The 22,539-nt window shown below is 38.4% G+C and overlaps 1 protein-coding gene across 7 annotated transcripts in view; it reads right to left on the bottom strand.

Annotated features, from left to right (window-relative positions):
- The window catches only part of RNF150 (ring finger protein 150), a 353,094-nt gene that overhangs the window by 114,420 nt on the left and 216,135 nt on the right, over positions 1-22,539 (bottom strand). The window contains exon 1 of one of the 7 annotated variants that reach the window (XM_017008476.1): positions 3,074-3,095. The exons of the other annotated variants lie outside the window; for them this stretch is intronic. The gene's annotated coding sequence lies outside the window, so the exon portion shown is untranslated. Of the gene's footprint in view, positions 1-3,073; positions 3,096-22,539 lie in introns of those variants that run through there. 7 annotated transcript variants of the gene reach the window in all.

Genomic DNA, 22,539 nt, shown 5'->3' on the forward strand with positions numbered 1-22,539 from the left:
TTGTCAGTTTTAGAATGTTACATAAACGGAATCATATGGTATGTGATCCTCTAGATTGGCTTTTTCTCATTCAGCATAATGTCCTTATCCAAACAAGCATGTATCAGTAATTCATTCCTCTTGATTTCTGAGTATAATTCCATGGTAGAGAATGTGGTACACCACAGTTTAATTATTCGCCAATTGATGGACATACGGATTATTGCCAGTTTTTGGATATTACAAATAAAGCTGCTATGAACATTAGTTTTTGGATGAATATAAATGTTCATATCTCTGGGATGAATGCAAAGGAGTATAACTGCTAGCTTGTACGGTAGTTGAACATTTGGTGTTCTAAGAAACGGACAAACTGTTTTCCAGAGTGGCTGTATCATTTTACATTCCCACCAGCAATGTATGAATGATTCAGTTTCTTAGTATCCTGGTAAGACTTGGTATTATCACTATTTTATTTTAGCCATCCTGAGAGGTGTACAAAGGTATTGCATTGTGTCTTTACAATATCTCTTCATTCATTGTGAGTGACTTCTAATTTTTGAAGCTGATCTTCCAGCTCATAAATTTGTCTTTATTGTATCCATTTATATTTTATCCCATATTTTAGTGCTCTTTGTTTAAACTACAGGCGACCCTTCATCAACACAGGCTTGAACTGCATGGGTCCGCTAATACATGGATTTTTTTCAATGATATAATTGGCCCTTTGATCTGCAACCAAATGTGAATAAAAAATGCAGCATTTGAGACTGGGCATGGGGTCTCACACCTGTAATCTCAGCACTTTGGGAGGCCAAGGCAGGAGGATTGCTTCAGTTCAGGAGTTCGAGACCAGCCTGGACAACACGGCGAAACCCTGCCTCTACAAAAAATACGAAAATTAGCTGGGTGTGGTGGCATGCTCCTGTAGTTCCAGCTACTTGGGAGCCTGAGGTGGGAGGATGACTTGAGCCTGGTAGGTCGAGGAGCCCGCAATGAGCCATGATTGTGCCACTGTGCTCCAGGCTGAGTGACAGAGCAAGACCTTGTCTCAGAAAAACAAATACATAAAATACAGTATTTGCAGGATTTGAAACCTAGCTATACGAAAGGCAACTTTTTGGGGATTCTGCAGAGCTGACCGTGGGAGGTGAGTTTGTGCAGATTTTGAGTTTGTGCAGGTATCTGCAGGTGGTCCTGGAACCAATCCCCAGGGAAGATGGAGGCAAGACTGTATTGTATTTTTCACACTAAATATTTCCCATTGTGTGTGTATGTGTTTTATAAAACAACTTCTAGTTCCTGCTGCATAGAATCTTCCCTTAATATTTGTGGTCCATTTTTAAACCATTCTTTCTCAGGTGGTATCTACTCATTTGGTACTATCTTTAATAATGGTGGGATTCCTCTGTTGTTTTGATAACTTCCTAATGAGCTCATGTTCCCCTGATAGAACCAGTTTCTCTGCCTGATCCTATTTTCTGGGGAAAACCAAGGTGGAGGTCTTAGTCTTGTTCCTCCAGAAGATCCAGAACAGAGTTGAGTATGTTTAGACAGCCCCAAGCACCAAGAAACAACCAATGAGGCTTCCCATGAGGGCAGGCTCTCTGCAGTATTACTGGCTTCTCACCCTCCTCTCAGATGACCCCATGTACCTTTTGCCTGAGGCATTGCTGAAGTTCCGGCCTTCTATGTCATGAGTTCTCACTCAGATCCTCATTCGATCATCGAATCCAACATAATTTCCTTTTTCAAACCCTTCCTATGTGACTCTTAGAAATTTAAGCCTCTAGTTAACAAATTCCCTAACAGCCCTGGTGTTAGAATAATCCCTTCAGTTCCTTGATCCTTAACCTTCTTGCTTTGATTGGTTCGGCTTTCCTATGAAGACACTGATTTCTCTGCATTACGGTGAAGGAAAGAATTTTTTAAATTAAATTTATTTTTATTAAGCCCCATTCATTCCACATGCCTCAGCACCAGAAGATGGTTTGCTGAGTGTGCTCTATCTTGTATCTCCAGATCATTACTTCTAGCCCCATCACATCCTCCTTCAAAAGCCACTCATCTTTTGAGATTCTTTTCACTTGGATTTACAACCTTGTCCCATCTCTCCTTGCCACCATCTGCCAACCTCCTGTTATCTCCTCTTTCCCTCAGTTAACTCCTAGCTCACAATATTCATCCTCCTCAAATCAGAATCTCAGTGTTTGCGAGGATGACCCAGCCAGTACTCGAGCCTGTCCATTGCTTGCTCCTTTCCTCCCTGTTGACCTTTGCCTCCATTGCTCCCTAGACACACATTCCCACTGTTGTATCCTGGACCTTGTCAGCACTAGAAAGTGCACCACCTCTGGAATGCTGACTTCAAAGACGTCATTTTCCAGTGCCACTTCCTCTTCTTCCAGATCTCTTTGCTCAGTCATGCCCACCCTATTACTCCCCTCTACTTTCTATCCATCAACCCTCTCCTGGCCTCCCTTCTCTCCCTACCAGCCCACATTCCATGATCCACCATTATAAACTCTTCTTAAAATACCCTTAGCTCCCCTGCACTTCTATTTCTCCATGGAACCTGCCCTACAAAATTTGCTTTTTCTATGCTTCCACCTCTTCATGTGAACATTGCTAAGAGGGAAATCTCACAAGTCACCTTTTTTTCACTTGAAATTTATGATCACTATCCTCAGTTGAACACCTGCTATCACCCTGCTTTCCTCTATTTTGGACTCACTCCCCCTTTGTCCAAATGATGACCTCATACCTTTATGTCTCTCCGGGAACCTCCCACACCCCCTCCCACCCACATTCTAAATCAGTGATGTTACCACAGAAGTCGTTGAGAAAAAATACCCACAAGAGGCAAATATCCTGTCCTATTATTAAATGAGATAATTCACAATGGATTATTTGGCACAGGGCTTTCCATACAGAACCCACTAAGTAGATGTTAACTTTTATTAGTACCATTACTGTTGTCTTACCACTGCCAAATACACAAATCAGCCTGCATCTGTGCCTCCTTCTCTTGTTACAATTCAGTCCAATTTCCCTCTACTATAATGACCTAATCCAATCAGTATGATTCCCTCACCTGTCACAGTCACTACTGCTCAGGTAGGGGCAGGGCACATAAGAATTTTATTTGAGTTATAACGAAGCAAAGGCCTTCTTTTGGTCTTAAACTGGAGCATCTGTGGTTGTGAGAGTCACTTTCAATCCATGAGACGAAAATTCCAAGAAGAGAGCTGGCAATGAAAGAGGAGAGCCATAAATAACCTGATGACATGATTTGAGCCTTGATCAAGCCACATCTGAAGTCAGTCTACCTTTGGGTTTTGCAGTTATTTTGCTTAAAGTGGTTTGGTTTGAATTTTCTGCACTTTACGTCCATATTATATAACCAGGTAGTGACACACACAAAAATGAATCCAGGTCTTCTGAATTCCCAACCAGAGTCACTGAACCTCTCATATACTCCCATGTAATTTCTTAGGTGGTCTATAATTTAATTTTACTTCAATCAACTTATTTGAATTCACATTCGAATTCGCCATTAGCGTTTTCATACATTTCAGAAAAGAATATCCATATTACACTAAATTATTGCTCTCTGCCTTGCACATACGATTCCAAAGTCATCCTAGACCATGAATAAGCAGTCATTCCATATGGCTCCAAAGTGTGTTCTATCCGCTTTTCTACACTAGGGAGAAGTTAGTACTATCCTGAAATATGTATCTTTCCTGAAACTCATGGTATTACCATACTTGTTGAAGATGGGGAGTGTGCTGTCTGGAAGACAATCTTAGTCTGAACAATAAAAATAGTTCCCAAGAGATAAAAACTTAAATTGATAGGACTAATTTAGGAGTTTGAAAATGTATCATTCAGCAACCAAATTGATAACCTGTAGAGCCAACCAACTGACTTGATTTCTCCAGAAGACCTGCAAGCTCAAAATATGTAAGGCTCATATAAGTTGCTGAATGAACACTGGTTAATCTGTGCTCCCCCAAGACTCTGCTGCCAACTTGAAATATGTCAAATGCTGATGTTCCTGAAGTGCATTGTAATTTCACAACAGATCCTCTCAGTGTAGATTTGTCATTACAGTTAGAGCTAACTGTTACAGAATTTAAAAACATATTTAAAGGAGATGCTAACAATAGCCAATTTTATTTTCCTTAGAATGGCTCTAGTAACAATTATCTCACTGATGTCAATTCCTCAGCTATACTTGAGGTGATCAATGACTCATACTTTTTTGAAAGTTTGTAGACATTCCTATTCTACAAGTGTATAGAATTATTTATGAATTTGTGGTAACTGTAGGGTGAGTGATAAATGTAGAATAAGAATTATTGAATTATTGAAGGTTGACTTATTACATTATTGAGTGATGAATACAGAATTATTTATTGAAGGTTGACTTATTACATTATTGAGTGATGAATACAGAATTATTTATGAATTTGTGATAACTGTATGGGGAGTGATGAATATAGAATAAGGCATTGTATTTAGAGATTCACCTGTAGGGTTTTCTTAGAAAATATTCAGTAAATCAGTCTTAAAAAATAACTTGCTGCTAGTTCTGTGAGCATTTCAAATGGCTAAAAATAATATGATAGAGTCCAGGCTGAAATGAAACAAATCATAGAATACTAAATTGATTTTACAATAATTCCATTTTCATTAAAGTCAGTTTCTATTAGAGCAAATAATAATGCTGAAATAACTTTCTGCTTATATATAAAATATATTAAATTCTAATTTTTGCTGGACAAAAAACAATATATAGTCGTTCTTTGGTGTATGCAAGGAATTGCTTCCAGGACCCCCACATATACCAAAATCTGCCCATACTCAGTAGGCCCGCAATTGGCCCTGAGGAACCTGTGTATACAAAAAGTAGCCTCTCTGTATATGCAGGTTTCACATCTCAGGAATACTCTATTTTCAATCTGAATTTGACTGGAAAAAATCTGCATGTAAACAGACCAAACCGTTGTTGTTCAAGGTTCAACTGTACATGTAAGTCTCATTAAGGAGCAGACTAGTGGAATCACAGTATAGGAGACTATGAGAGACCAAAATTTCCCAGCATTTCAATCTTGATAATAATATCATAAATGAAATTAAATAGCAGAATCATTTACCATAACTTCTAGCTGGGTGACTTTGGAAGACTTATTAAACCTTGAAGCTTCAGGTTCATTATTTTCACACTCTCATATGAAATGTACCAAAACAAAAGGGCTGAGTAAGGATTAAATGAAAGAATGCACACAAAGAACCTAGAACACACATTACATTCAGTAAGTATTAACAGTTATTATTATCATCATCAACATTTATCAAATAAATACTTAGAGCATTCTAGATAGTATGAAACCTGCATTTAGACCAAAGGAGGCAGAGTGGGAAGGAGCACACTAACCTTGGCTTCCACTGGGGTCCAGGGACAAGGATGAGCTTATGGACAACTGAGAGCACCTGGATATTGTAGGGACCTCTGAAAACAGCTGGGGACCATGAAGCCCAAACTGGGCAAGTTGCCATTTCTGCAACGTTAAAAGGTAAACTTTCCACCTGTTTTGGTCAATGAACGGAAACTCGAAGGCTGATGAATGCAAAATCAATCTTCAAAGTAAAAAATGAATAACTGGGTTAGCAATTAATGGTTCAATTCATATTACTCTCTTAAGGTAGTGAAAAATAAAAATTGTGTAATTTTTAGTCTGAAACTCACATAATAAAAGAAAACATGCAATTGTGTTTTATTTTGCTTTGAACTACTGGGAAAAATCACAATGAATCCCCTTAAGGCTATTTCATTTTTTTTCTTTTTTTTGACGGAGTCTCGCTTTGTCACCCAGGCTGAAGTGCAGTGGCATGATCTTGGGTCACCGCAACTTCTGCCTCCTGGGTTCAAGTGATTCTCCTGTCTTAGCCTTCTGGGGTGCTGGGACTACAGGCTTGTGCCACCATGCCCAGCTAATTTTTGTATTTTTAGGGAAGATGGGGTTTCACTATGTTGGCCATGCTGGTCTCGAATTCCTGACCTCGGGTGATCTGCTTGTCTTGGCCTCTCAAAGTGCTGGGATTATAGGCATAAGCCACCATGCCCGATCCCCTTTAGGCTATTTTTAACAATACATGGCAAGAACCTAGAATTACAATTAAAAAACAATCACAGTATCATGGATCTAATGAACTTCTAGATATTTATGATACACTATTCTGTACCATTGGAATGGGAAAATATAGATGAAGCACCTTGATATGGTTTGGCTGTGTCCCCCTGCCCCCAGATCTCATCTTGAATTATAGTTCCCATAGTCCCCATGTGTAGTGGGAGGAGCTGGGTGGGAGGTAGTTGAATCATGTGGGCAGTTTCCCCCACACTATTCTTGTGATAGCAAGTTCTTATGAGATCTGATGCTTTTAAAGGGGCTTCCCCCTTTGCTCAGCTCTCATTCTTCTCCTTCCTGCTGCCATGTGAAGAACGTGTTTGCTTCCCCTTCCGCATGATTGTAAGTTTCCTGAGGCCTCCCCAGCCCTATGGAACTGAGTCAATTAAATGTCTTTCCTTTATAAATTACCAGTCTCAGGCAGTTCGTTATAGAGCATGAGAACAGACTAATACATACCTCTTCTCAAAAATTTTTGGTTATTTGTTTGGCAGAAGTTATCTGGAAATTCCCAATTTACTGTATAATTACCAACTGTCTCATTACTTTTACTTGCTTAATAATTTCTACGTGTAAGTATTCAACAACTTGTCTTCAGCAGTCTTTGAAAGTAGAAGTGAGAGATTCCTTTATTAAAGGCTCAGATTGGAAAATCCCTGTTTTTAAGGCCAATTAAAGTTTACTATTTTGGTTTCTAGAAGCTGGAAATCCCCATATAGTTTTCCCTATAGTAAGATGACGTATACTATAAATTCAACAAGTATTAAGGTCAAGTTAAAAGACCAACTACAGGTTGAGTATCCTTATTTGACATGATTGGGACCAGAAGTGTTTCAGATTTTGGAATTTTTCAGATTTTGAAAGATTTGCATATACATAATGAGACATCTTGGCGATAGAACCCAAGTATAAACTCAAAATTCATTTATGTTTCATATACACTTTATACAAATAGTCTGAAGGTAATTTTACATAATACTTTTAGTAACTTTTGGCATGAAATAAAATTTGTGTACACTGAACTATCAGAAAGCAAAGGTGTCACTATCTAGGCCACTCACTTGGACAACCTGTGGTTGTTTGGCACCACCATCATTCCTGACTTCGAATTTATATGCTACCAAAAAGCAATAATTTTTTAATACTTATTCACACATAGGTACTTCACAATAAAAAACATGACATACCATCGATACAGAGAAAAAATAATGTGTTTGGGGTAACTAAGCAGCACAGTAGCATCACTAGGTGCCTGTATCAGCTGTTAAATAGCAGCAACAAACAAAAGCAGGACTTTGGTCTCCACCTGTGATGCTGTGTTTTGTTTAAAAGGTTATAGTGCATTGTATTTGATTTTTTAAGGTGAGACAGAATATCACAAGTAGTTGAGGAACCAGGAAGTAGGTTTTCTAAGGTTGAGGAAGCATTCTGCTCGAAGTCTTTTTAAAATGTTTCCTCCAGAGTCATCAGCCTCATTAACAATGTTTTTTGTCTTAGAATGCTCTCATTGATTTTCATAAACAAACATGATTTCATCTTGTTATGAATGCATGCTGCTCTAGTCCTTACTCTTTCAAAAAGCCCATCACATGTTTTTCACCATGTTATCTATAGGCACTTTTTCTGTAGTGTTAACGTCATCTTCACCATAACTATTATTACAATCACCTTGATTCAGAACCATTTTGGCTATTTCATCATTGGTCAACGAATATACAGCAGGAGCCTCACCAATGGCAAAATCTTCTTTGATATGCACTTCTTCCAATTTACTGATGGACTCTGAAGATATTTTTCACATGTGTAAGGAGGTCAGACATCATCTTTTTCTCACGACATATGAAACCCTTCAAAGTCACCACCTTATTCATCATCATCACTGAACAGAGTTTTAGGCCAGAGCTTGAGCCAGGCATGCGCAAATGTATCTGTAGTTACTGTGTTCCAAGCATTGGTAATTGCATATATGGCATCCTTCCTCCTCTTGAAAACCTTCCACACCCACACCTCTGTTCACTGCTGCTAGTCTGCTGTTCAAGAAAGTGTTTTTATATTTATTCTTCTTTGATCTAGCACTGGTCATGGCTGAATTAATGAAGTATGTAGCACAGACTTTTTTTTTTTTTTTTTGGTGAGAATTTTTCAGCAGGAGGATGAGCAGAACGATTGTTAGGGACTAACAAAACCTTGCAGGTCCTCATCCTGTCCAGCTTCTCTGTAGTGAGCATGGGTCACTGGAACAATCAGTGAAACCAGTCAGAAAACATGTCCCTGGTGATCCATGCCATTTTATTAAAATAACAATGAACTGATAAGAAATTAAGACCTTGAAGCACTCCTTGAAATATCAAAGACACATGCCTTTGCTTATCACTTTAGTTTACAACTATGCATGCCTGCTGCATTAGCACATCCCAGCGGTGATTCTGTCCTTGGCATACTTAGTTTCTGTACAGGCTATCTCATCAGCTGTAGTCAGTGTGTTTCTGGGGCAATAAGGTTAAAACTGCGATGTTTCATAAGCATTATAGACTTGTTCTGGCATCGAATTTTCATCAGCGATGACCTTGTAAAACTTATCAATGAATGCCTCTGCTGCTTTGTGATCAGCAGAAACTTTATGACCACAAATCTTTAAAAAATTAATGCTATTTCTTAAGTTTCTGCAATCAGCCTGTTGAATAGTCACAGTTCCCTTTTTCAGTTCATTGTGATGGATCTTTGTTTCATGATCAGCACACCATTAAGCGGCCAATGTTCAGTGTGAAGCTGACAGATCCACTCAGTACATACTGAAGCTCTTCATTTTTAGCTGTATGCAGTGTTTTTCTATTTTTCATTAACTTTTGCTCATCACTTTCAACACAGAACTTCAAGAATTTATCCTTCTGTTTCTTCAGGTCACATGGGGTGGTCATTCTAACACTATACTCTTCCATAAGACATCTCATACTTACACTGCTGTCCAGTTTCTCCAACAGCTTGGCTTTCTGTACTATAGATAAGCATAAATTTGTCTTCCTTTTCTTATCATTGTTACCCACAGAGGTAACTGCATGTCTTTTTTGATACTTTCAACAATATATTTATACCATAGAGCAAAGAATAAGCAAAAATAATACAGTGTATAATGCATGTAGATCTTGCCTCATGTAGGGCACTTCAGGGAATCTGCCATTGGTGAATCTGGCCTGCACCTGTGCCATTTTATTACCTTTCCTGGGCATGCTTGTGGGGGGAATCTAGGCATGCGTGGAAAGAGATTGAAGCTAAAGGGGGTAAGAAAGTCTTTTTTCCTTTGGAGATGGTGAATAACTTTGTATGTTGTATAACTGCCTTTTTTTTTTTTTTTTTTGAGACAGATTCTCACTCTGTTGACCAGGCTGAAGTGCAGTGGCACAATCTTGTATCACTGCAGCCTCTGCCTTCCAGGTTCAAGTGATTTTCGTGTCTCAGCCTCTCGAGTAGCTGGGACTACAGGCACGTGCCACCATGCCCAGCTAATTTTTGTATTTTTAGTAGAGGCAGGGTTTCTCCACATTGGCTAGGCTGGTCCTGAGGTCCTTGCCTCAAGTGATCTGCTCACTTTGGCATCCCAAAGTGCTGAGATTACAGGTGTCAGCCCCGTGCCCAGCCGTGTGACTGCATTTTGACTGTGACCTGTCACATGAGGTCAGATGTAGAATTTTCCACTTGCGGTGTTATGTCCGTGTTCAAAAATTTTAAATTTTGAATCATTTTGCATTTTGGATTTTCAGATTAGGGACACTCAACCTGTATTAATATCTTGAGGAGTGAAATAGCAAAAACAGGATAGAACTTGGTGATATACCTTGGCAGATAAAAAATGGGCCTCTTAAGGATCAGAGCTCAAGCTCCAAATAAAACACTACATATCCTTTGGCTTGATACATAAATTATTGGGATGAGTTCTGATAACCATTGGTATGAAAAGGTTTTTAGACTAATATGTAAGTGAACAGAGTCTATAAATCTTCTTGGTCTTTATTCTCTCTATCAGTATTCTTAGGGCAGGTAGAATTGAATGCATTTTAGGAAGATCTCAAGTCTAGGATGGGAAGAAGGGTTCGGCAACTGAGTTTGTATTCTGAAAAAGCTACAAAGGTCTGAAACATACCTTCCTGTCCTTTGTTTGATACAGTCTACACTGTAAATCAAAAAGTGTCTATAACAGATGCTGTCCATTACACTCCCCTATCCCATACATTTTAGTGCACATTGTCTTGATTTTCAATTGCCAGCACCTGTATTTCTTTGCTTAAGTGACTTTCTGGACCACTGACTATCACTCTCACTTGGTGTGGGCCAAGGGAAAGGAGGAATTGCTACCACCTAGGAGCAGCCATGAACTAATGACTAAAAAAGTGGGTGTATAAATACCTCAGTTTCCTCCCTCACTGTGCTAGTGAAACTCTGCTGCACATTTTCTGCACTGTTTCCCAGAGCTCCCCAGTGGCATTAAGCTTCATTACTTCCTTGATAACATATGATTTATTGGCTCCTTTCCTTCCCTGTTGCATTTCTCCACTCCCAAACAAGTGTTTCCTGGAATCAACTTTTAAATAAATGGCTTGGCCCTGAATTTTGTCTCAGTCCTGCTTATAAATAAACCCAAACCAAGACTGTGCCAAAAATTACTTCTCTCTTTTTTCTTTCTCCATAGTTCTCTGATGTCCTAAATACCAGCTATAATGGCTCATGCCTTAGTGACACTACACTGCCTCCTAAATATCACTCTTTAATAATTTGTTTACAAAGAGAAAGAAAACAGCGAATGCAAAAACATGAATTACATGAATTTTGCCCCTCCCATTTTTAACTTAAAAAGGAGAATCATTCAGCATAAGTAGTTCTAGAATCTTTTCTTTAATACCTTTTCACGCCCAATTAACACAAAAATAGTTGCAGTTACACACAGCTACTGAAAACCACCAAACTGCCTATCTGAAGGGAGAGTCAAGGATCCTTCTCTTCCACCTCTGACCTTATGAGAGAATGATATTTTTTGGGTATTTTGGGTATTAAAGAGAGAGCATTCACTGAGATATTCTGTAAACTAAACTCATCAGATATTCTGTAAAGCTTTCTGTCTAATGTAGCCACTAGCCACATGGAAACAAATTAGGTATGAAAATTTAGTTTTCAACCTTGAGCTTTATGAAATGTAAATATAGATCAAGTATTACTAATGAAAATTTAGTAACCAAATTGAGATGTGCTGAAGTGTAAAATATATACTGGAATTTGAAGACCTAGTATAAAAATCTAAATAATTGTTACTAATGAGATATTTATAAACATATATTTTTATATTGATTAAATTTTGAAATGACATTTTGGATATATGGGTTATATAAGATATTTTAGTTTTAATTTTGCTTGCTTCTATTTCCTTTTTTAAAAATGTGGCCACCTAAAAATTTAAAATTAAATGTGTGGCTCACATTGTATTTCTATTGGACAGAACTGTTCAGTCAGTTTATTGACAGATTTTGTTTGCTAGTCTAGGGGGCACAATCACTGGTGTATAAAAAGATTAAGGCAAGGAAATAACACCCTCTCCACTAAAGGATTTGACATTTTAAGTGGAGTGTCACAGGTTCAGTAATAATATTGCAGCCAAGCTTAAAAGCAAAATTAAAAAGTAAAGCCATATAAAACTTTCTCAGGGAGTGTGGCTGTTCTCTTCTATAAATAGATTACTTATATTAAATTACGGAAAGTGATTTAAGAAACAACGTTACCCTCTTTAAAAGCCCACAAAACTTGCTCTGCCTGAACAAGGAAGAAAATGCGCTGCCCACGTCTGCTTTCTAGAACCTGAACGGAAAGACAGAATAAGGCAATTAGGTACTACAAGGGGGTTACACAATCTACTCTGATATCATTTACTCCTTCATTTTACAGAGAAAGAAAATGAGTCTCAGCCTGGCTAGGTGACTTATTTAAGTTTAGAAATGGTTTTGTTCTTTCTGAAAGAAAAGAAAAGCAATTCTCAAAGATATAATTTATATTCCCACTAGTAAAATAAACTTTCCATCATTGCAAAGCTCACGTTTGAACCAGCAGCTCTCAGATGCATCCACCATCAACTCTTCTTGATAGCTCCCTGCATATCTCTTTCCATATTTTAAGTAATATGTTTATAGTAATATTTCTTGGTTTATCAATTTTAGACATTTTCTACTGCCATCCTGTCATGGTAGATGAAGACTTAACTCACACTCACCCCTACCATTCCTCCTTATTTCCTAATCCTTCACTGGATGAATAGGCACATCAATAGTCCTTCTATGCAAATACCGTTTACTGTACAGCCAAGTAGTATATTACAATTATGAAGCAGTCCTAGTCACAGTAATCAGGCAAGAGAAAGAAAAGGCATCCAAAAAGGAAAAGAATCAAGTTATCTTTTTTCAGTGATGTTATGATTACATACCTAGAAAACCCTAAAGACTCTGCCAAAAGGCTCTTAGACCTGATAAATGACTTCAGTAGAGTTTCAGGATACAAAATCAATGTACAAAAATCAGCAGCATTTCTATACACCAATACCGTTCAAGTTGAGAGCCAAATCAAGAATGCAATCCTATTTACAATAGCCACATAGACAAAAATATCTAAGGATACATCTGATAAAGGAGGTGAAAGAGTTCTACAAGGAGAACTACAAAACATGGCTGAAAGAAATCAGAGATGACACAAATAAAAAAATATTCCATGTACATGAATTGGAAGAATTAATATCATTAAAATAACCATACTGCCCAAAGCAACCTACAGATTCAATACTATTCCTATCAAAATACCAACATCATTTTTCACAGAATTAGAAAAAACTATTCTAAAATTTCTATGGAACCAAAAAAGAGCCCAAATAGTCAAAGCAATCCTAAGCAAAAACAACAAAGCTGGAGTCATCACATTACACGACTTCAAGCTATACTACAAGGTTACAGTACCCAAACTGTACAAAAACTGGTACAAAAACAGAAACACAGACCAATAGAATAAAATAGAGAACTCAGAAATAATGATGCACACCTATTGCCATCTATCTTTGACAAAGTTGACAAAAATAAGCAATGAGGAAACAACTCTTTATCAATAACTGGTGCTGGGATAGCTAGTTAAACCCTATGCAGAAGACTGAAATTGGACCCTTCCCATTCACACATACAAAAATTAACTCAAGATAGATTAAAGATTTAAACATAAGATCTGAAACTATAAGAATAAGAAGAAAATGTAAGAAATGCCATTCTGGACTTTGACCTTGAGAAAGAATTTATGACTAAGTCTTCAAAAGCAATTGCAACAAAAAAATTGACAAGTGGGACATAGTTAAACTAAACAGCTTTGGTACAGCAAAAGAAATTGTCAACAGAGTAAACAGACAACCTACAGAATGGGAGAAAATATTCACAAACTATGCATCCAACAAAGGCCTAATATCCACAATCTACAAGGAACTTAAATAATTGAACAAGCAAAAAACAATCCTATTAAAAATGGACAAAAGACATGAACAGACACTTCTCAAAAGAAGACATACAAGCAGCCAACAAACATGAAAACATGCTCATCATCACTGATCATTAGAGAAATGCAAATCAAACCACAATGAGATACCATCTCACACCAGTCACAATGGCTGTGATTAAAAAGTCAAAAAATAACAGATTCTGGTGAGGTTGCAGAGAAAAGGGAATGCTAATACACTGCTGGTGGGAGTGTAAATTAGTTCAGCCACTGTGGAAAGCAGTTTGGAGACTTCTCAAAGAACTAAAAACAGAACTACCGTTCAATCCAGAAATCCAATTACTGGGTATACCCAAAGGAAAATAAATTGTTCTACCATAAAAACACATGCATGCGTATGTTCATCTCAGTACTGTTTACAACAGCAAAGACATGGAATCAACCTAGGTGTCCATCAACAGCAGATTGAATAAAGAAAATGTGGTACATCTACACTATAGCATGCTAGGCCATTGAAAAGAACGAAATCATGTCCTTTGCAGCAATACAGATGCAGTTGTATTGTGAAAATATTCACAAATATATATATATATTTTATTATACTTTAAGTTCTAGGGTACATGTGCACAACGTGCAGGTTTGTTACATATGTATACATGTGCCATGTTGGTGTGCTGCACTCATTAACTTGTCATTTACATTAGGTATATCTCCTAATGCTATCCCTCCCCCTTCCCCCCACCCCAAGTATATACCCAAAGGAATATAAATCATGCTGCTATAAAGGCACATGCACATGTATGTTTATTGCAGCACTACTCACTATAGCAAAGACTTGGAACCAACCCAAATGTCCAACAATGATGGACTGGATTAAGAAAATGTTGCACATATACACCATGGAATACTATGCAGCCATAAAAAATGATGAGTTCATGTCCTTTGTAGGGACATGGATGAAGCTGGAAACCATCATTCTCAGCAAATTATCACAAGGACAAAAAACCAAACACTGCATGTTCTCACTCATAGGTGGGAATTGAACAATGAGAACACTTGGACACAGGAAGGGGAACATCACACACCGGGTAGTTTTTAATTAATATTTATAGAAAAAGATTGTCCTCATTTGAAGCATTTTGGTTGCCCCTCCAGCAAATGCTACCACAAACTGTAGCAGTTTAGCTTCATTGTAGTTAAAACCTGGTTGCTTCCAAAGTGACTGTAAGGTCTGTGGTACACGGAAGCTGGTGTCAGTGATGCTTCCAGGGTTCCCTGTGCTTAACTCCTAACTGTCTGGCACATCCCTGTTGGAAAATAGGATTAAGAGACTTTTACAACAAGGCAGAATCTAAAAGCAGGGCTTTATTATTGTGATGGTGGTAATGATTTTCTGGCCTCTGCTCATTCAAAAAAAAAGTACCGATGTTAAGCCGATCACCAAAGAGATGTCAGATGTAGACAGTGCTGTGACGAGCTGCCACAGACCACAGAGTACTACTTCTGGGAGCTGGCCAAAAAGCACTCCCCAAGTTCAACCTCCATAGCGGCAAAAAGAAAAAACTGAGGCCTAGAGACTCACCCAAGACAAAAAGAGAGTGGGTGGCAGCCTATAAGTAGGTCTTTAAAACATTTAGAAAGATAGAAATAACTGATTGCTAACAGATACATGATGACCTTACAAACTGATGTCATTTTGCAGAAACTAAGCTTCCAGAAAGAGGCAAAATCATTTAAATATTCATATCAATAATTCTAATCCTTGGGCATTTATCCGGTAGTATTATAACGACTAAAATGTGTAAATTGAAGGACCAAATCACTATCCTTTCACCTTGCTTTTTTTTTTTAACTACATAAAACACAAATCTTAAGGACTTATTAATTATTTACAGTCTGGCTCTGAAGATGATAGTACTTGCAGCAAATGCTGACAGGCTGGTTCCACCCAGCTAATCACAGCAGTTACTGAACAGATAAATTAAGAGCATTTTAAATTCTTGTTCAGAGAGACACTTGCCTTAGACATATGCTGAAAGCATGGACTTACCTGCATAAAAAGACTGGCAAGTAACCAAAATTAAAAAAAAAAATTGTTCTTTCTTTCCTTTGGACCTGTTTTCAGCATCTATTTGAAAGTTCCAAATTATATTTAGGCTATTCAAGACAACCCTGCTAATGCACTGTAATTTTATATTTATAGTCACTGGCTTACACATGCCCACAGACTGCATTCTGCAACACCCAGGAGTGAAAGGCCTCTTCTGACACCTGTGGCTCTTTTTCCATAAGTGCCTGTACAACCAGTGCAGAGTATTCATTGTCTGGTCCTAATGGTTTCCCTTTGCTTATTCGAGAAATTACCATTATTTTCTCTTTCGTAAATGACTCCGAAGTAAAATAAAATGATAGCTTTCTTCACATTAACAACTTTCTTTTTTTAATTTTTATTTTTAAGTTATTTTAAGTACATATGCAGGACCTGCAGGTTACCTAGGTAAATGTATACCATGGTGGTTTGCTGCACCCATCACCTAGGTATTAAGCCTAGCATACATTAACTGTTTTTCCTAATGCTATCCCTCCTCACATCCCACCTACTGACAGGCCTAGTGTGTGTTGTTCCCCTCCCTGTGTCTTCTCATTGTTCAGCTCCCGCTAATAAGTGAGAACATGCAGTGTTTGGTTTTCTGTTCCTCCATTAGTTTGCTGAGGATAATGGCTTCCAGCTCCATCCATGTCCCTGCAAAGAACATGATCTCGTTCCTTTTTATGGCTACATAGTATTCCATGGTGTATATGTACAACACTTTCTTTATCCAGTCTATCATTGATGGGCATTTGGGTTAATTCCATGTCTTTGCTATTGTCAATAGTGCTGCAATGAACATACGTGTGCATGTATCTTTTAATAGCATGATTTATATTCCTTTGGGTATATACCCAGTAATGAGATTGGTGGATCAAAGGGTATTTCTGGTTCTAGACCTTTGAGGAATCACCACACCGTCTTTCACAATGGCTGAAGTAATCTACATTCCCAGCAATAGTGCAAAAGTGTTCCTATTTCTCTGCAACCTCACCAGCATCTGTTGTTTCTTGACTGTTTAATAATAATTGTTATTCTGACTGGTGTGAGATGGTATCTCATTGTGGTCTTGATTTGCATTTCTCTAGTGCTCAGTGATGTTGAGCTTTTTTATTTTTTTCGTATGTTTGTTGACCACATGTATGTCTTCTTTTGAGAAGTATCTGTTCATTTCATTTGCCCACTTTTTAATGGGGTTGTTTGTTTTTTTCTTGTAAATTTGTTTAAGTTCCTTGTAGATTCTGGATATTAGATCTTTGTCAGATGGACAGATTGCAAAAATTTTCTCCCATTCTGCAGGTTGCCTGTTCACTCTGATGATAGTTTCTTTTGCTGTGCAGAAGCTCCTTAGTTTAATTAGATCCCATTTGTCAATTTTTGCTTTTGTTGCAATTGCTTTTGGTGATTTTGTCATGAAATCTTTGCCTGTGCCTATATCCTGAGTGGTGGTATTGTCTGGATTTTCTTCTAGGGTTTTTATAGATTTGGGTTTTAGATTTAAGTCTTTAATCTATCTTGAGTTAATTTTTGTTTGGAATATCATTTGCAAATATTAATTTCTGGAGCCTCAGAACCATGCCAACACATTACAACCATAAAACTTCATTTCCTCACTGGAAATACAGAACACTGAATGTCAAGACTTCAACCTTAAATAGGATTCTAATTAAGGCAAAAGACAGTTACATATTTGGGTTGCTGAGCAACTGATAGAGCATCTTTCTAAATATGAAGTATATTCTATATGAAATTTTACAACAATAATTTATATGTGAATAATATTAACTAAAGGATACATTTAGAGAGCAGAGAAAAGCCTGGCTGATTTTTCCCAGTGTAATGATAGAACAATTATATAAAATGTGAAAAGACTGGAATCATGTTAATACTCTTACCTTCAGATAGTCCAAATCTTAACAAGGTCACTCAATAATTCTTAAAATAATACAAAATGTCTTCTGAAAAGACATGCAATCTAGTAAATCTGGTTTATTTCTAAAAGGATGAGACTTTACTAATAATATCTGAAAAATTCAAGTTCTCACATTCCTTATCAAAAAAGAATATGGAGTAACATACTAACCTGAGTTGTCTTTATATAAAACTTTAGTATACTTGGGTTTATTTTTATATACCTTGTCCTTAGCCTTCAGAATTTCTATCTGAGTACACAGGAATTTCAAGACAAACTTGTTAGGGATAATTAGATAAAGAGTTAATTGGGGAGCCAGGTGTGGTAGCTTATGCCTGTAATGCACCCAGCACTTTGGGAGGCTGAGGTAGGAGGATCACTTGAGTCCAGAAGTTGGAGGCTGCTGTGAGCCATGATCATGCCACTGCACTCAAACCTGGGTGAAGAGTGAGATCCCATCTCTACAAAATAACAATAATAATGAAAAACAAAAATTAAAAAAGAGTTAACCAGGGAATGGGGAAAAAAAAGGAATAAAACAGAATGTTGAACAGTACTGCTTCTTTCTGGGGCAGGCTTGGGAGACATAAAGGAGGTGGCCACACAGTCAGCTGGGCCTTGCTCCCACTGCTGTTAGCGGGAGAGAGGAGAGGCACTACAGACTGAGCAAAAGCAGCAGAGGCAGTGTCATAGTGTCCTCTACCTTTAACCCTCAGTGAAGCTTTCCTGGATATGACAAGGCTTTCTAACCCTGGCCCTCCCTGATGGGTAAGGGGCACTTAGAAATACTGTACTTACTTCAAAGAATGGGCTGGACACAGTCATGAGCCATTCTCCTCCCCCTTTCATGCTAGGGACAACTGTGAAGTTGGCCATCCTAGACGGAGAGGATATCTGCTGCTTCCTGGGGAAAAGAGTTGGGATTTGGCGGCATGTCAAGGGCTGGTGCAGAAGAGGGCAACTGAGGTCTAATAACAATGACAGGACAGCCTCTTCCTTGTGCTCAGGAGCCAAGGGAGGCACCCGAGAGCAGAGCAGCAGGTGACCAAAGGCAGTGGTATCACTTCTCCTCCCCAGGATCCACAGGAGAGGACGGGAAAACAATGCTCTCGGGAGTCGCTCATCCTCCCTTGGGGTGTCAAGAACCGTCTTGGTGGATGCATTGGTTTCCTATCACTGCTATGAGAGATTGCCACAACTCAGGCCTGAAAACAACACAAAATTATCTTACAGTTTTAGAGATCAGAAACATGAAATAGATTTGCTGGGCTAAAATCAAGGTGTTGGCATGGCTGCGTTCCTTTGAGAATTCTAAGGGAGAACCTATGTCCTTGGCTTTTCCGGCTTCTAGAAATGGCCCACATTTCTTGGCTTGTAGCCACCTCATTCGGACTCTGCTTCCTTCATCATCTCTTTTTCTCTCTGTGACCCTCATGCTTCCCTTTTATACGGATCCTTATAATTACACTGGATGACCCAGAATAATCTCCTCATCTCAAGATCTCAACTTAATCACATCTGGGAAGTCCCTTTTGACATGTAAGGTAATGTATTCACAGGTTCTGGACATTTTTGGCAGCAATTATTCTGCCTCCCATAGTGAAAGTAGCAGCGAGAGACATTTCTGGAGTAGGCCTCCAGGGGCATGCAACTACAGCCAGGTCTTCCCTGATCATAGTGAAGGCCCCCGGCATGGCCAGCTGTTTATATGGCCTTGTTTATGCAGCCTGGAGAACGAAGATAGTTTATCATTTCCCTAAGGTCTTCACGCAGCTTGAATAGATTGTCTTCAGCTAGGAACTGATTTTGATACATGTTAAAGCCATGATTTCTCAAAGATGATAAGGAGGGTTATCTCCTTTTTCCCCTCACTCTACCTTCATCTTCCCACCTCCAAACAAGAAAAGAAAATCTCAGTGCACTGTTAGGCTTTCAGTCATGAGAGAGATCTTGGGGAGAGAATTCTAAGTAAGATGGTGACACCTACTCATCGGAAAACACTGCCCAGGAAGGATGGGGGACCTGGTACATTGTGGCATGAAACAAAGTTGCGTTTGTGGGTGTTGTTGACATAACAGTGATAATTTGCCACCTAGGACATAAAAATAGCCTCCACCAACATCTGAGAATATACAGCTTTCCAAATAATTACCCACTTCAACTTAACTCCCTCTAGACCTTCACAGGCTACCCAGAAACATGCATGCTTCCAGTCCCTCCAAGAGAACTGCTCGTGGAAGGAATAAAAACAAGAGCAGCAGATTAACCATGTTTGGAGTGGAAATCCAAGGTCATGCCTGCTTCAAAACAGCTCAGCCAAATCCTGCAAGAGTTTAAAGAGGGTAAAGTGTAGAAAGCTGCAGCCAGATCTCTCCACATTAAAAGTTACTAGTTTGTCTTGAAGGCAAAGGCCCAAAGGATATGACAGAAGGGGTGCTCAAAGTCCCAGCCCATCTGTGTGCCTATCTGACCATGAGCACAGGTTGAAGGTGATAGTAAAATGATCACGAAGGTTATTTATGATAAATATTGATTGTGGGGCTGCTGTGCATGTGTGTGCACGCACACACACACAACACACACACACACACACCACTGCCTATTTAAGCAGCCCTAACAAACCAAAGCCAGGGGCTAATATTGAACAGTGACCTTATTGTGGTGGCTCTCTACACAACAAAAACCACATTTAAAATGCATCAAGACCAAAAGTAAGATCTGAAGAATGAGGAAACCTAGGCTATAACAAAATGAAAAAAGGTTTTACACATTCCCTGAGCACAGGCAGCACTGAAGGATGAAATGATTTGCTTGCTAGGCTCACTAGAGTAAAAGGCAGGAAGCATTTTCCACCCAAGTTGCTACGCCTCTGGTGTTCCCTGGACCATCTGGATAGAAGTTTATGTTCAATCTATAAGTCTTTTTTTAATTTTTAATTTTTATGGGTACACAGTATAATAGGTACCTATATTTATGAGGTACATGAGGTATTTTGATACAAGCATACAATGCTTAATAATAATCATATCAGGGTAAACAGGTATTTATAACTTCAGCATTTAACATTTCTATGTGTTACAAACATTCCAGTTATACTATTTTATTAATTTTTAAATGTCTGATAAATTATTGACTGTGATAACCCTGTTGTGCTATCAATTACTAGAACTTATTCATTCTATCTAATTATATTTTTTGTACCCATTAACCATCCCCACTCCAACCCTACTACTCTTTCCAGCCTCTGGTAACCATCATTCTACTCTCTATCTATGATAAAGGGCAGGTGAACCCCAAATTTGGAACTCAGCCCAGGAATGTTCTTGGCTTTGCTCAGGAAAAAATTCAAGGGCAAGCCAGTGGTGTTAGCAGCTTTTGTTGAAATGGCAATGTACAGCAGCAGCAGAGGTACGGCTCAGAGCAGAGCAGGGCTACCCCATAGGCAGTGTGCCCAGAGTAGCAGCTCAGAGGCAGTGCTGCAGTCATATTTATAACCACTTTTAGTTATATACAAACTAAGGTGTAGATTATGCAGAAATTTCTAGGAAATGGGTGGTAACTTCTGGGTCATCAGGTCATTGCCATAGAAAGCGGCAGTAAATTCTAGGTGTTGCCATTCTAGGGAATGGTAAACTGACATGGCACAATGGTGGACGTGTCTTATGGAAAGCTGCTTCCGCCCCATCCCTGTTTTAGCTAATCCTCAATTTGGTCTGGTGTCTGAACCCTGCCTCTGGAGTTGTGTCCCGCCTCCTATCTCATCTCCATGAGTTCAGTTGTTTTTATTTTTAGCTTCCACAAATGAGTGAGAACATGAGAAGTTTGTCTTTTGGTGCCCCACTTATTTCACTTAATGTAATGCTCTCCAGTTCCATCCATATTGTTGCAAATGACAGGATATCATCTTTTTTTATGGCTGAATAGTACTCCATTGTGTATATGTACCACATTTTCTTTGTCCATTTGTTTGTTGATGAACACTTAGGTTGCTTCCAAATCTTAGCTACTGTAAACAGTGCTGCAAGAAACATGGGATTCAGATATCTCTTTCATATACTGATTTCCTTTTTTGGGGGGGTATATACCTAGCAATGGGATTGCTGGATCATATGGGAGTTCTATTTTTAGTTTTTTGAGGACCCGCCATACAGTTCTCCATAGTGGCTATACTAATTACATTTCCAGCAACACTGTATGAGGCTGCCCTTTTTCCCCATCCTCATCAGTATTTGCTATTGCTTGTCTTTTGGATAGAAACCATTTTAACTTGGGTGAGATGATATCTCATAGTAGTTTTGATTTGCGTTTTTCTGACAATAAATGATGTTGAGCATTTTATCATATACCTGTGTGCCATTTGTATGTCTTCTTTTAAGAAATGTCTACTCAGATTTTTTAGCCCATTTTTAATTGGATTGTTAGATTTTTTTCCTATTTAGTTGTTTGAGCTCCTTGTACATTGTTTATTAATCCCTTCTACAAGTCGTTACTGAATGTCAGCACTACTAAATGTTAAGAGGTGGCATGATAGAGTAGAAAGAAAATTTGATTTGGAATAGTTAACACTGGTTTAAAGTCTTGGCTTTCCCACTTCATAGCTGTGTGACTTGGGCATTTAACCTGCAGCTTCTTCACCTCTGTGCTAGAATCATAACTGCTCTGGCTACTTCAAAGGGTTGACAAGAGAATAAAATATAGATGTAAATGTGCTTTCTTATCCTGTTAAACGTTACGAAAATTATCTGTTACCATTAGAGAAGCAAGGTAAAAAATTTTGGTTTCTAGCTTATGATCTAGTTAGGGAAAAAATTTGTACAAGAAATATTCAAAGAGCAAAACTATTTAGCAAAGTGTTGGAG

The sequence above is a fragment of the Homo sapiens genome, chromosome 4 (assembly GCF_000001405.40).
Source record: "Homo sapiens chromosome 4, GRCh38.p14 Primary Assembly".
Taxonomy (NCBI): Eukaryota; Metazoa; Chordata; class Mammalia; order Primates; family Hominidae; genus Homo; species Homo sapiens.